The 15,638-nt window shown below is 46.7% G+C and overlaps 1 protein-coding gene across 25 annotated transcripts in view, besides 3 other annotated features; it reads right to left on the bottom strand.

Annotated features, from left to right (window-relative positions):
* The window catches only part of CEP250 (centrosomal protein 250), a 64,116-nt gene extending 48,860 nt beyond the window's left edge, over positions 1-15,256 (bottom strand). For 7 of the 25 annotated variants that reach the window (XM_005260262.5, XM_005260264.5, XM_047439862.1 and 4 more), the window contains exons 1-10: positions 15,179-15,256; positions 12,047-12,117; positions 10,316-10,438; positions 7,868-8,156; positions 6,790-6,846; positions 4,596-4,678; positions 4,217-4,382; positions 3,349-3,455; positions 2,866-3,117; positions 435-531 (exon numbers count right to left, since the gene is read on the bottom strand). In XM_005260262.5, coding sequence (XP_005260319.1) covers positions 435-531; positions 2,866-3,117; positions 3,349-3,455; positions 4,217-4,382; positions 4,596-4,678; positions 6,790-6,846; positions 7,868-8,053 — 948 coding nt within the window. In that variant the 5' untranslated portion in view covers positions 8,054-8,156; positions 10,316-10,438; positions 12,047-12,117; positions 15,179-15,256. 25 annotated transcript variants of the gene reach the window in all.
* Positions 6,424-6,603: a silencer, noted in NCBI's record as "silent region_12859". NCBI's record gives its function as "represses an Ori minimal core promoter by ATAC-STARR-seq in GM12878 lymphoblastoid cells {active_cell/tissue: GM12878}" and the evidence as "EXISTENCE:reporter gene assay evidence [ECO:0000049][PMID:35858748]".
* Positions 15,029-15,408: a silencer, noted in NCBI's record as "silent region_12858". NCBI's record gives its function as "represses an Ori minimal core promoter by ATAC-STARR-seq in GM12878 lymphoblastoid cells {active_cell/tissue: GM12878}" and the evidence as "EXISTENCE:reporter gene assay evidence [ECO:0000049][PMID:35858748]".
* Positions 15,429-15,578: an enhancer, noted in NCBI's record as "active region_17784". NCBI's record gives its function as "activates an Ori minimal core promoter by ATAC-STARR-seq in GM12878 lymphoblastoid cells {active_cell/tissue: GM12878}" and the evidence as "EXISTENCE:reporter gene assay evidence [ECO:0000049][PMID:35858748]".

Raw genomic sequence — 15,638 nt, 5'->3', positions numbered from 1 at the left:
GCAGCTATCATGTCTTCAAGGGCCTTCACAGGGCCTCAAGCTCTTTCTTCTCCCGGCTAAACATTGCCATACTCCTCAGTTGTTTCCCATGTGACTAGATTTTAAATCTCTCCACATATCCGCTTCCTGGTAACTCACTAATTTGCCAATGTGTCTCTGAATGTATGTGCCAATTCTCTGGTAAGGACACACTGCATACATATGCCATTGCAATTTCCCCAGGAATACAGTAGGGATAGTAGACAGTCAATAGTATTTATTCAATGAATAAATGAATGAGTTAATTAATTTTCAGATTCAGCCAAAATTTATTTTTTAGCTTTAGAGGATTTCATCATGGAATATGTAACTGGTATCCTGCACTATCTGTCCATAAAGCACAAGGAACCTACAAGCCCACGCCCAACTCCTTTCCAGAGCAAAGGATCATGTACCAGGATCTCCACTGTCTCTCTCAGAGCCTTTATCATCTTTTCATAATCTTCATTTTGCTTCTGAGACTGGGTCAACAGAGCAGAGAGCTCGGTCACCCTAAAGAGAAGAGCATAGCACTGTCACCAGAACAGCCCATGGATGTGGACAGAGCTACGATGCAGCACACCCCAGCCCCAGCCCCAACCCCAACCACTCCCAACTGCAGCCTCCCCCAAATCCCTTAGGCACCCCCAGCCCGTCTGCACTCCCTGAATACCACATGATGCTATAGCCTTGAAGTGGGGAAGCAAAAAACCACTCAGACACATGCAGGGATTTACCACATCTCAAGGCTGGAACACGTGTTTGGGGGCCCAAGAGCTGAAGGAAAGCCCTGGCCCAGGCCCTTCCAGGCCTCGCTTGATCTTGAAGTCAAGCACCCTGAAGCCAATAAGAACATCAGAATTGCACTTGGGATAGTCCCAAGGTCCCTCCAGCCCGAGGTTCTGACTCTGATAGGGAAAAAGGAAGGGCAATTTGGGGAAGATTATGTTCAACCTTCTTGATATTAATCTCAAAGTCCAGCAAAATCACCAAACACTTAACACTATATCTTAGAGCTTACTGCTTGCTATTATGTGAGTGGCTAAATAAATATTTCTTGAATGAATGCTATCTAAAAGTTTAAATTTTTTTCCAATTTTTTTTTTGAGACAGGGTCTTGCTCTGTTGCCCAGGCTGGAATACAGTGGTGCAATCATAGCTCACTCTCAAGCAATCCTCCTGCCTCAGCTTCCCAAGTAGCTAGAATTATAGGTGCATGCCACCACATGGCTATTCTTTTTTTATTTTTACTTTTAGTAGAGACAAGGTCTCACTATGTTGTCCAGGCTGGTCTCAAACTCCTGGGCTCAAGTGATCCTCCTCACTCAGCAAAAGTCTTAATAATTTTATTCTATACCATCTCTAAGAACCTTAACACACTGTATGGTCATTTGTTTAAGTATTGCATCACTCAACAAACATTCACTGGCCAGCCACGGTGGCTCAACCGGTAATCCTAGAACTTTGGGAGGCCAAGGTGGAAAGACTGCTTGAGCTCAGGAGTTCCAGACCGGCCTGGGAAACATAGTGAGACCCCGTCTCTACAAAAAAATTAAAAAGTTAGCCAGGCATAGTGGTGCGTGCCTGTAATCCCAGCTACTTTGGAGGCTGAGGCAAGAGAATTGCTTCAGCCCAGGAGGTTAAGGCTGCGGTGAGCTGTGTTTACACTACTGCACTCCAGCCTGGGCAACAGAGCTAGACTCTGTCTCAAAAAACAAAGAAACAAAATGTATTGAGTGTCTAGTATACGGCAGGTGAAGTACAAAGTACTAGAAATAAAAACTTACGAAGACATGGCCTGCTTTTGTACTTCTCAGTGCCTCCAAAAGCAAAAACAAAACAAAATAGCCCTGCATTTTATGTATGTACCTCCAACAGGTGAAGATACAACCCTCGTCATGGGCATATATGAACTTTGTCCTGAGATTCAATGGGGCTCTCTGCTCATTTCCCTGCCCTTCTATGTCATTATTTTTTAAAAACCTACTTCATTATAATCCAAAAAGTAAAACAGCCTCACCAAAAAAAGAAGGTAGGGGAAACTAAATCATCAGTGAGATCAATGCTGTAATAAGAGGTCAAAAGACTACAAGGGCACAGTAACTTAGCAGGCTACTGAGGTCAGAGAAGGCTTCATAGAAGAGGTGACATTTCGGCGAGTTGCAGTGGCTCACGCTTGTAATCCCAACACTTTGGGAGGCTGAGGCAGGTGGATCACTTGAGGTCAGGAGTTTGAGACCAGCCTGACCAACATGGTGAAACCCTGTCTCTACTAAAAATACAAACATTAGCTGGGTATGGTGGCATGTGCCTGTAAACAGTCCCAGGTACTTGGGAGGCTGAGGCAGGGGAGTCACTTGAACCCAGGAGGCAGAGGTTGCAGTAGGCAAGATCATGCCACTGCTCTCCAGCCTGGGCGATAGAATGAGACTCCGTCTCAAAAAAAAAAAAAAAAAAAAGAGGTAATATTTGAACTATGTCTTAGAGGATAAGGCAGAGAGAGAAGGGAGGGAGGCATTCCAGACTAAATTCAGCAGGTACAAAGACAGGGAGGGGGAAGAGCTTGGCTGTTCTGGGAATGGCAAGCACTTTGGTGTTGATGGAGGATGGAGTCATAGCTAGCTCCATAAATCAACAGGAAAGAAACTGGGCTAAAAGACAGGCTGAGGGCAGAGGTCAGTACAAGCCCCAACTGTGGCATCAGGTTTCAAAGTAGATTTCCTTGGGCACATCTTCTCCCCCTCCATGGTAGGAATGTTCCTGGCACCTCCCCCTGCCTGTCCCTAACCCTCTAAAGGAGTCAGCTCTCTCTCAGCGAACCCTTCTTGGGACCCCAGGCCATCTCACCGGTCCTGAAGTTCAGCCTTCTCCAGATCCCCTTGACTCTTCAGCTGTATTAACTCCTGGCTCCTTTCATGGGCTTCCTTCTCCAGCTCCTGGGTCTTGGCTAGTAGCAGCAGCAGCTGGGCCGGCTCCCGCCCATCCATTCTTCCAGATCCGTTGGGTTCCCGAGACTGTGCTCCCACAGTCAAGCGCAGACAACAGGTCAACAGAGACCCTGAAAGCCTCACATGCTCAGCTTTTAGCTCCATCAGATCTCTGAGTACAAGCAAGGAAAACAGCAGACTCCACTAGGAACCAGGGAAGGAGTGTGGTGATCAGGCCCAGTGAAGCCTGAGGAGCAGGGCTGGGAAAAATCATCTGCTTCCAATACTACCAACTCCCCCACCCACCCCACCCCCACAGCTGATCCCGCTTCTATAGCAGCCCACTGTTATTAGTCCAGAATTGGTAGGGGCAAACCTCCTCCCTTCTTCTCCCCACACTGACCTGTCAGTAGCTGACTTCATTTCCAGGAAGTGGCGTCGGAATGTCACAACCTCCCGCCATAGACTGAGAAGGCGACCGTGCTCCCCTTTCAGGTAGCCCTTGAAGAACTGTGTGTTCAGAAACCCAGGTCATACCCAAAGGCAGAGGGCTATCTTTTGCCAACACAAGAGTCTTGGATTCCTCCTGACTACTGAGGGAAGGAAGGAGGGACTTACAGGAGATAGTTTATGAATGGGTATCTATCCAGGTTATGGTGAAGGGCTTAATAAAGCTGGCAGTGGGATTCGAGAGGTCAGAGGGCCTAGGATGGTATATCGCCTTCCTCTGGGCCAGATTAGAAAAGGATACACGGTAGCTGCTTAACAAATGGGATCTATTACCACAGACTTTTCTAAGGAGGAGTCAATGATATACATAAACCACTGAGCACAAAGCAAAAATGCAGGAAACATTTGTTTCCTTCAGCTGGGACCTGAAAATTCCCCAGGGCCCATAACAGCTCTTTCTTTCCCATTCAGTTTCATATCTACCTCCTTAGCATCTAGATATGCAAGACCTCCAGACCAGGAATCAGTAAGCTTTCAGATCCATCAAAAACCTAAGCTCGTCACTGCTGCAGGAACAGAGTTGCTCTGAGTGTCATGCTACCTCCCAGCAGAACCTAGACTAGGCGGGTAGTGGCAGGTCTAAGCTGAAGGCCCAAGAAGGCTGAGGCTGCCAGCATGCGCAGGTAAGGATGGTCAGGGACTTTAACAGCAACAGCTCAGTTTTCATCCAAGTCCTGAAGTTAACTCCTTCCAGTACTGACCAGGGCAGCATCCAGAATACACAGGCTTCCTCTCACAGTTCCAGTCCCCGTTCTTCCTACCTCCTGCTCCATCTGCCACTGGCTCTCCTTCCTCATTAGCTCATCCCGGGCCCGGCTCCAGTCCACTGTCAGTTTTTCCACATCTTCCCTAAGGGCTTTATTCACCACGTCAGCTTTTTCCATGTGCAGTCGAAGCTGGGTGTTCACCTCTGCTAGACTCTCACACCTGCACTGGGGAGGGGTAAAAGTGGGTGCAAAATAAAGGTCTAGTCCAACCCTTGGACCTCCTGGGAGTAAGATGGCAACCACTGAAATTTTCCATTGCAGGAATTAGAGGGCTATGGCTGAAGTCCACATTAGCCCTCAGGGCAGAAGTTTCCCATCAGCCTTCTCCACCAACTGGCCAATCACCCAGGTCAGAAAGTTTGGGGTCCATCACCTCTGTTGCTCCTCCTCCAATCGGACCAGCAGCTCATCCAGGTTTGGCTCCTCCACATTTTCCCACCTCTGGGGGATTGGTCCCTGCGCCAGACAGAGACAAGCCTTACTTACCTCCAAAGAGAACATCACTCAGACCAGTTCCCTAAGGCTCCCTTCCATGGCAGTCCACTTTCTTTTTATTCTTTCTCCCCTTTGTTAGCAATATGCTTCTATTCTCAATCACTGCATCCCTCACTCCAAAAGTAAACTGATGACCTCTCCTGAAAGACGGCCTTCAGTAGTAAATAGAATCTTCAACTTAAGAAGTGATGTATCTTTCACTAATGGCCTTAACTTCCACTACACTAACGGTTTGACCTTGGGAAGTGACTTAACTTCTTTCATTTTTTTTTTTTTTTTTTTTGGAGACAGAGTCTCGCTCTGTCGCCCAGGCTGGAGTGCAATGGCACAATCTCAGCTCACTGCAACCACCGCCTCCCAGGTTCAAGTGATTCTCCTGCCTTAGCCTCCCAAGTAGTTGGGATTATAGGCACCTGCCACCACACCTGGATAATTTTTGTAGTTTTAGTAGAGATGGGGTTTCGCCATGTTGGCCAGGCTGTTCTTGAATTCCTGGCCTCAAGTGATCCACCCACCTCAGCCTCCCAAAGTGCTGGGGTTACAGGCATGAGCCACCACACCCAGCCTGTGAAGTCACTTAACTTCTTGGAGCTACAGTGTCTCCAGCTACAAAATGAAAGCGGTATATCGTTCCCTTCAGAAAGTTGCTGTGCAGGTTAAGAGACACAATTATAGATGCTCCTTGACTTATGCTGGAATTTCATCCCATAAATCCATCATAAGTTGAACATAAGTTAAAGGTGTGTTTTCAACTTACGACGTTTTCTTTTTTTCTTTTCTTTTTGAGACAGTCTAGTTCTGTTGCCCAGGCTGGAGTGCAGTGGCATGATCTCGGCTCACTGCAACCTCTGCCTCCTGGGTTCAAGTGATTCTCCTGCCTCAGCCTCCCGAGTAGCTGGGATTACAGGCACGCACCATCATGCCCGGCTAATTTTTTGTATTTTTAGTAGAGATGGGGTTTCACCATGCTGGCCAGGTTGGTCTTGAACCCCTGACCTTGTGACCCACCCACCATGACCTCCCAAAGTGCTGGGATTACAGGCATGAGCCACTGCGCCTGGCTGACATTTTCAACTTATGATATTTTCAACTTAACAGTGAGTTCGGGCCAGATGCAGTGGCTCACACTTGTAATCCCAGCAGTGGGAGGATTGCTTGAGTCTAAGAATTTGAGACCAGCCTGGGCAACATAGAGAGACCCTGTGTCTACAGAAAATAAAGAAAATTAGCCAGATGTTGAGGCATGTATCTGTAGTCCCAGCTACTTTTTGGGAGGCTGAGGTGGGATGATCGCTTAAGCCCAGGAGGCTGAGGCTGCAGTGACTCATGACTGCACCAGTCCACTCCAGCCTGGGCGACAGAGTAAGTAGGACCCTGTCTCAAAACAACCAACCAACCAAACAAACAAAAACCAACCAAACAAGCAAGCAAAACAACCCCAAACAATGGGTTTATCCAGCTGTAACCCCATCATAACCCAAGGAACATACTGAATGCATATAGCTTTCACATCATCATAAAGTTGAAAACTTGCAACCATCCTAAGTTGGGGAGGACCATCTGTATATGACAGTGCCTCATGCTGCCTGGACTGCATTGAGGGTGCTCAATAAGTTTTGGTTCTTTCCTTCCTCTGAGAGAACTTTTCTGAGGAAAATGTGAGGAGGTACTGAGAGGCAGCTGGAACAAAGGCAAATAAATGGGTTTTTCAAAGCCAGTTCTAATAGCACAGACATCCCTTTGCTGCAGACATGCTGTAGGCTCGCAAAGGCCTGCATCTTTCTAAAAGAAACACTGACACCTGCTGGAGGAAACATGCACTTCTTCCTGCTAATCCCACACTCCTTCCAATCTAATTTACATTTCGTCCTTTGAAAACCAAGGGTTGGAATCTGACAGGCCAGCTAGGTCCAATGAAGATATCAGTGTGATAAACCTCTCAGAGGCTGAGAAAGAGAGCCTTCCACCAAACACCTCACTTGTACACTCCAACCTCCCTCAGTCAACAAATGAAACCTAACAAGTATATTCACTGAGGACCCAGGGGGTGCAGAGAGCTCAGCCTCACTCACTCCAGTGGCTTCTAGCCGCTTCTCCAGCTCTTGGCACCAGCTTCGGTACTGCAGCACCTGCAGCAAAAAGAACAGGCCCTGGGCAATGAACACAGCTGGCACAAACAGCCCAAAGCAAAGGCCCCTGAGGATCTTAGGCAAACTTGCTATGAACAGGGGAAATGGGTGGTGACAGTAAGGTAAGGCCATAACATCTTATAGTTTCTATTTGGGCATTTTTTTCTTTTTTGAGATGGAGTCTCGCTCTGTGTCCCAGGCTGGAGTGCAGTGGCACAATCTTGGCTCACTGCAACCTCCGCTTCCCAGATTGAAGTGATTCTTCTAACTCAGCCTCCCGAGTAGCTGGGATTACAGGCATGCGCCACCACACTCAGCTAATTTTTGTATTTTTAGTAGAGACAGGGTTTTGCCATGTTGGCCAGGCTGGTCTCAAACTCCTGACCTCAGGTGATACACCTGCCTCGGCCTCCCAAAATTCTGGGATTACAGGCATGGGCCACCGTGCCTGGCCTTATTTGGGCATTTAAATAATACTTTCTATATGAGCGAGACTCTGTCTCAAAAATAAATAAATAAATAAATAAATACTTTCTATATGCCTTTTATATCACAGAGGCAAGATCATGGGCTTTGGCTCTAGACTAGCTGAAGAAACCTGGATAATTAACTTAACCCTTGTGAATTTCATCTTTAAAGAGATATATTAGCCAAAAGTGGTGGTGTACACCTGTGGTCCCAGATACTCCAGAGGCTGAGGCAGGAGGACTGCCTGAGCCCAGGAGGTTGAGGCTGCAGCGATCTGTGATCATACCACTGCACTCTAGCCTGGGCAACAGAGCAAAACCCTATCTCAAAAATAAAATTAAATTAAAAGGATATAATACGTACCTCATGGAGCAGTTGTGAGCATCAAAAGAGAAGCTGTACATGAAAGCTAGAAGGTCTGGGTCTTATCTCACCATGCTAGATGTAGGCCACTCCCACCACAAGACTCTGCCTCCTGCAACCCTTATCTCACCTCAGCACCTAGCTCTGGGGGTTGTTCTCTTTCCCCTCCCCAAAAGGGCAGCTGCCTCACCTTGGCCTGCAGCTTCCTCACAAGGGTTGCTTGTCTCTGCTGGGCCTCCTGGGAGTTCTTCAGCTTCCGCCAGGAGGCTGCCTGATTCTCTGCCATCTGCTGCTGTAGTGCCAGCACCTGCTCTTCCAGTACCAGCTGCAGTGACTGGGGCTTCATGTTGTTCAACCCAGGGCTTCTTGTCTCCATGAGGGCACCAGGTGGTAGGCCCACAGGTCCCTAGGTAGCCAGAGGGTGTTCACGCCCAGCAGGGTCTCTAACCATTGCCATGCCACTTCAACCTCCTCTTGAACTGGGGACCAAAGCACATAGTCAAATGGAAAGGACTGTTCTTTTACTACACACAAGACTCCTCAGAACCTTTAAAATACTAAAAGGGACCCTCATCTCTGAAGGGCGCTATGATGAGCATCATTCCCCAAATTTAACTGACCATGAGACAAGCTCACAGGACTAGTGTCTCCTGGCATGACTTTTGGAACTCTGCACTAAACCAAGAGCTCCTGGTTTATCACTGCATCCTTAGTTCCTGGCACAGTGGTTCAGAAACATTTGTTGAATGAATCGCTGAAGGTGTTCTTAGTCTAGCAGGGGAAATAGACACAAACTATTACAATACATACAATGTAGCATGTGAAATAATAAGATAATATGAGAAAACAAAGGAAGAGAACCCAGCCTGGGAGCCTGTGAACTGTGTGAATCATCATCATCATTGTTAACACTTGCTGAGTGCTTCTGGAGGGCTGTTGCTTTAAGTGCTTTACATGCATTACGTCATTTTGTTTTTACAAAAATCTTGAAACCTTCCAATGCCTTCTCATTACACTTCACCAAACGTACTATTATAACTCTTTATATATAGATGAGGAAACTGGGGCTTAGAAAGGTTAAAAAACTTGTGCCAGGCCACACAGCTGGCATATGGTTGAGAGAGATTTGAACACAAGTAGTCTATCTGACAAAGAAAAGGGGTAGCAGGCATTTCAGGCAAAGGATCCAAAAGAGAGAAGGAACCAGTGGCAGCAGGATGGCCAAACCCCCTCACCCACCAGGAGCTGGGCCAAAACAGGGCAATGGGCCACCACAGGCAGAGGCGGCCAGCCTAACGGTGACCTTCATCAGAGATACCCAGGACAGGGGAAGGCATGGTGGTAAAGAGTTCTGGGTGTTAGTCCAAGCTCTGCCTCCAATGGGCTCTGTGACCTCAGATGTGCTACTTCCCTCATCCAGAAATGAGGGTATCATGACCTCTGAGTTACTTAGGCCTCTAAAACACACAATTATCCCATAACCTGGGCCAGAGGAAGAGTTCTCTCATTTTATTAACCCTAAGACTCTCACCAGCAGGGCTAAGGAATATCCGTATTTTCAACTACCTATCAACAAAATGGTATATACAGCGAATGCAAACCTAACATTTGCACATACAGTAGAAATTTCAAGGGCCCCAAATCCCTTTAATGCACCAAACTATTGATTTCCCACATCCTGGCTCAAATGCCACGTCCTATCATGTCCTCCCAGATGAACCCAGGAAGAGTTAGTCACTTTTATAGCTATATACACAGAGAGAATACATATGTTCTGATGTCTACTCTACATCTTATCATCATTACTTGTCTATTTTCTCTGCTAATCCATGAGTACCTCAAAGGCAGGAGCTGTCTAATTCATTTTAATTGTAACTTGTCAACAATGTCCAGTGAAGAAATGCATGTGAGCCTCACTCCTGGCAGAGCTAAGCCATAAGCCAGAGATGACAAATCAGTGCCCTGCTAGCTCTTTTCAGCCATTGTGTGGCCCACATAATAGTTTTTAAGAATTCAAATTAGGTGCCAACATTTATCATTGGGAGAATGTACATAAAATCCATATTTCTGGCTCCTTTGGAAAATCAGAATACCCAGTGATGCTTGACCCATATTTCAATAAGGCAACAACCAGCTGCACAGTTGAATAGTGCCTGCCCGTTTAGACAGGGCACGCGCTCCGTGCAGTTGAACAGCGCCTGTCTCCTTTAGACAGGGCGTGTGCTCTGCACAGTTGTATAGTGCCTGCCCCCTTTAGACAGGGCATGTGCTCTCCAGTTCATCATGGCCTCCCCTATGCACACACCGATTCTCTCCCTCACAATGATAGCATATTTCAGTTGTCATTTATCATTGCAACTGTGCTATTGTTTCTGTTATAGTAGCATTAAAGAGGAAAACTCGGCTTACTAATTTACATTACCTCCTGAACAACCGAAGATACTTGAGTTTGCAGAGCCTGTACTAGGCAGTAAGGAAAGTGCATAAAGTAGGGAGAATAGAATGGCACCAATAAAGGTTTGGTGGCACCAGTACTCCAGGCCTCTTCCTAGCCTACGAACCAGGGGAATACAACCTTTCCCCATACTATTACACCCTCCTTTTCAGCCTTTTTGCCAAGGCTGTGTGACCAACTCACCATGGTGCTATGAAATGTTGGCTCTGTTGAGTTCAATGAAGCTCAATCCCTCTCTGCTGGTTGGAGGCACAGATCTTCCAGGAAACTATTCTCTTATCCCAGGATTTCTGCCAACAACTCTACCTACAATAATGTAGATCCAAGTTACTCCAAGGGAACTGAGGAGCCTTTTCTCTCCTAGTATGGTGAGGGCTGAGCCGGGCTTTTGCATGCAGTGGGAGTTTATGAGGTCTCAAAGGCCCCCTCACACTTTGTTGAATCCCTATCCCAAAACATTAGGTTGAACCATATGAAATTGCTAATATTATCCTATTATTATTATTATTTTTAGAGAAAGGATCTAGCTCTGTCACCCAGGCTGGAGTACAGTGGTGCAATCATAGCTCACCGCAGCCTCAAATTCCTGGGCTGAAGGGATCCTCCAGCCTCACCCTTCAGAGGAGCTGAAGATGTGTGCCACCGAGGCTTTTTTTTTTTTTCTTTGGTAGAGACAAGGTTTTGCCATGTTGCCTAAGCTTGTCTCGAACTCCTGGTTTCAGACAGCCACCCCCTGGTCCAAGCCTCCCAAAGCAATGGCATTATAGGTGTGAGCCACCAAGCCCAGCCTCACTCATTACTTTTTATCTACAAAAATGGCAATTTCACATCATTCAACCTAATATCTCTAATAAGCAGTCCTGCCACACATAGTTCCATGAATTCTCATTAAGTTTTCTTTTAGGATATGGCTGTCAGTAACTTGCAAACATGATTTGGCAAGGTGGTATTAGTAATACTTAAGCAAATAAAGAAAATTATATTACAATTATATAATTATTTTACTTTAGCAGATAATTAAAAAATTTTAAAGCTATTTAGAAATTTAGTCCACCCCCCTCATCTTGCAGATAAGGAAACTGAGGCTTGTAGAGATAAAGCAACTTCATTTTGTTTATATTTTTATATGCCCCACTTATCTCAAAAAATGATTTGCATGGCCAGGCACAGTGGCTCACACCTGTAATCCCAGCACTTTGGGAGGCTGAGGCAGGCGGATCACTTGAGGTCAGGAGTTCGAGACCAGCCTGGCCAACACTGTCCAGCCTGGGCGACAAGAGCAAGGCTCCATCTCAAAAAAAAAAAAAAAAAAAAAAAAAAAAGATTTGCATTATAGCAAATATACCATACTAAAAGGGGAGACTGGGTGCAAGGTATACAGGAACTCTCTGTACTATGCAATTTTTCTGTAACCCTAAAATTGTTGTAAAAAATAGTTTTAAAAAATGATTTAAAGTTTTTTAAAACCAAAACAATCCTCATAAAACTAAAATTTATTAAAACAAGAATAAAAGAGAAGAGACAGAGAAAAATTATCTCAGGAATCTTTCTGAAATTCAGATTTCATTCTGAGCTTCCTCAAGACACAGTTCAGCATCCTTTTACAAACACACTGCCAGATCAGATCTGCTAGGAATAAACTAGCAGAGCCCCCAAAGGGAAAGTAAATTTCAATGTGCCTGAGAAAGGGAAAAGAGCAGTAGCTGGCAAACTAACAAATTGGATTACATCTAAATAAGATAATGAGTGTCAGTGTACTTCTAAGCTGTAAACCACTGAGCCAATGTTATCATTACTGCAGGAAAAAGGGAAAGATTCATTTCTTTTGTACATTAATTTATCCCATAAACACTCATGAATTTCAACTCAGTATCAGGAGTCTGCCACAGTGGTACAGAAATGAACAAGACCTACCTTCCTACTTTTGCTAAGGATCAGACAGGGAAGACAGCACCCTTACTAAAGACCAACAGCCACCTGTGAACCTGGAGTGGAAAGTGACAGAAGAGTGAGATAAATTATGTATTTGATCCTCTCTCATCCAAAATACTACAAAAGGAGTATTTAAATAAAGTTTAAAAGAGAAGCAACACTACCACCTAAACTTGGAATAGAGGCATAAATGCTACAAGGACTAAGATGCAGAATGGTATTAAATAGAATTTGTCACTTAAAGCAAAAACAGAAAAATACTTGAGGACACAAACATTTTATTTACTGAGAAAGAAACTACAGTATAGACATTTGTGTACAGACATAATTTGTTTCTTACTCCTGAAAAAAACAAATTAGCATGCAGCTCCTTATTTAAATCTCATGTGGGGCCTCTCTGTTGCTCTCTTCCAACCTCTGGCCTCTCCCACTCAGTCTCCTTTGCTGCCTTTTCTCATCTCCCCAGTATCTAAAGTTTGGAAACCTCAAGGCTTCAGACCTCTTCTCCATCTCCATTAATTTCCAAGGTAATCTCATCCAGTGTTTTGTTTTGTTTTTGAGACAGGATCTGGCTCTGTTACCCAGGCTGTAGTGCACTGGCATGATCTCAGCTCACTGCAACCTCTGCCTCCCCGGTTCAGGCAATTCTCATGTCTCAGCCTCCTGAGTAGCTGGGATTACAAGCATGTGCCACCACGACCAGCTAATTTTTTTGTATTTTTAGTAGAGACAGAGTTTCACCAAGGTGGGAGGATCTCTTGAGGCCAGGAGTTCAAGACCAGCCTGGGCAACACAGGGAGATTCCCATCTCTATTAAAAAAAAAAAAATTGCTGGCTGTGTGGCATTCACCTGTAGTCCCAGCTACTTGGGAAGTTAAGGTGGGAGGGCTGCTTGAGCCAAGGAGTTCGAGGCTGCAGTGAGCTGTGATCACGCCACTGCACTCCAGCCTGGGACAAGATGCTCAAATAAATAAATAAATAAAATACTATCACCTCTCCACATAACACTAGTACTTTTATTTACCTTACCATGCTTTTTCTGTCCCTATCTAATTATTATGTAATATACTTACCAAAATGCAAATTCCACAAGTGCAAAAGCATTGTTTTATCGAATGCTGTATTCCCAGCTCCTACCTAAAACACAGCCTGGTTTATAACAAGTGCCCATTATTACTGACTATTATAGGACATTAGGTAACATGATCCATATTATCACCAATGGTCTTGCAAAATGCTAACAGCTCTATTACCTATATAAAAAGCAAAAAAACAGGCTGGGTGTGGTGGCTCACAACTGTAATCCCAGCACTTTGGGAGGCTGAGTTGGGCAGATCATTTGAGGCCAGGAGTTCGAGACCAGCTTGGCCAACATGGCAAAACCCCATCTCTCCTAGAAATACAAAAATTAGCCAGGCACGGTGGCGGGCGCCTGTAATCCCAGCTACTCAGGAGGCTGAGGCGGGAGAATCGCCTGAACCTGGGAGACAGGATGTTCCAGTGAACCCAGATCGCACCACTGCACTCCAGCCTGGGTGACTGAGACCAGGTCTCAAAAAAAAAAAAAAAAGTGGGGGGAGGCATATAACTTATAGCTTGGTCAGTGGCAGAGCAATGACTGAACCCCAATCTGATTCCAAATTCTACACTCTCTCCATTACATTAGCTGTTAAAGCATGAACATTACATTAGTTAAAGCATGGACTACGAACTCACAGCTCTGTGAGGGGCACTTCTTAAATAGTGAGCGATAATGACACCTATGTCTGCAGCTTTCTGATCGAAAAGGAGCAAAGAAAGATAGAAGAACTAAAGGAACAGAGGGCGTACCAGTAGCCTTGGTTTTGTTGTGACCTCTATAAATCTGGGACCAGTTCTCCTTTCTAAGCCTTCGCGGTAAAATACTGATCACAAGCCTAGCCTCCAATAACTCCCAGGGCCAAAGTAAAGATCAATTCAACAGACGTTGATTAAACCCAAAGGCAATCTAGTCAAGTCATCAAATGCCCTGGGGACAGTTTCCCAGCTCCATCCACTTATTAGTTGTGGGACTCCTGGCAAATTACTTTTTCTATGAATACCTCAGTTTCTTCATGGGTAAAACGTGAAGCTATAGAAAGAACTCACCCCATAGGATTGTTGGGAAGATTAAATAGGCCTTTGGCTGAGCGCGGTGGCTCACGCCTGTAATCCCAGCACTTTGGGAGGCCGAAGCGGGCGGATCACCTGAGGTCGGGAGTTCGAGATCAGCCTGACCAACATGGAGAAACCCCGTCTCTACTAAAAACATAAAATTAGCCGGGTGTGGTGGCGCATGCCTGCAATCCCAGCTACTTGGGAGGCTGAGGCAGGAGAATCGCTTGAACCCGGGAGGCGGAGGTTGAGGTGAGCCGAGATCGCGCCATTGCACTCCAGCCTGGGCAACAAGCGCGAAACTCCGTCTCTAAATAAATAAATAAATGGGCCCTTATGTGTAATGCATTCAGTAGCACCTGACAATTTGTGATCATTCCGTACAGTAAGCCATGACTATTATCATCACGTGCTAGGCCCTGGGATCTAGAGATGAAAAAGGCAAGGCATAACATCTAACGAACGAGCTTACGGTGTCAACGAGGGGCCGGGAAAGTAACTCGGTGCACAGCGAGTGCAAAAACCGAGAAGCGAATGCAGCTGCGCCTGGAGAAGGCGGCTGAGAAGCGATACTTCAGCAGGGTCCTGAAGAATGGGAGCTCCAGAGTCGGGTGGCGGGTGGGACTGGGCTTTCGGATAGATTACGTGCAAATCCGCCAGGACACAGGGAGCGAGGGGCGGGGGGGCGGCAGAGCGCGGCGCCTCACCCTCCCAGCCTGGGATTGCGGCTACTGGACACGAGGGTCGGGAAGCTCTCCTTCGGCGCCGACTGGAGCTTAGCGTGCTGGCGGCAGCAAGAAGCTGAGGCAAGCGGGCCCCGGGCCCTAACGACGCGTCCCAGCCCCTCTCTGGGCCTCGGGTTCCTCCCGGGTAACAAGAGGCCGCTGCCCGAACGGGATTCCCTCAGGCGCCCTAGACGGGCGGGTCTCCGGGCCTCGGACGGTTAACCCGAGCACCTCCCACCTGCCCCTGAGGCCCCACCTCACCACGCTCGGCTCCCGCAGACGCCCGGCTAGTTGCTCCGCGATTGAGCTGCGGCAGCCGCTGCTAAGGCCCTGCGGGGGACGGGGGCGGAGCCCACCCCGAGGCAGAGGGCCAGGCCCCGCCCCCCCAAACTCCCGCCCTTTGGGAGGGGCCCGCCCCTCCAAGTCCTGCACCTATAGGCAGACTGAGCCGGCGCAGGGCCTCCCGCCATGTTGGGTATTGGCAGCCGACTTACTAGAGAGGCCCTGAAGGAAAGGGGGTATTATTTTAAGAATTATAAGATCCCTAGCCAGAAATGGGGACGGTCAGGGTCTCTGGATTCGCGAAAGGGACATTTCGGAAGCAGAAAAGAAAAATTGCCCTCAATCATTTCGCTTTTGGCTTCAGTGTTACATACAGCGCATGTGCAAGGTCACCTGGTTCTAGGTGCGCCTGCGCACAGCTCCACCTACAAACC

Source organism: Homo sapiens, chromosome 20 (assembly GCF_000001405.40).
Source record: "Homo sapiens chromosome 20, GRCh38.p14 Primary Assembly".
Lineage (NCBI taxonomy): Eukaryota > Metazoa > Chordata > Mammalia > Primates > Hominidae > Homo > Homo sapiens.
Note: the sequence above shows the minus strand (reverse complement) of the source record. Positions and strands in the feature narration are given on the sequence as shown.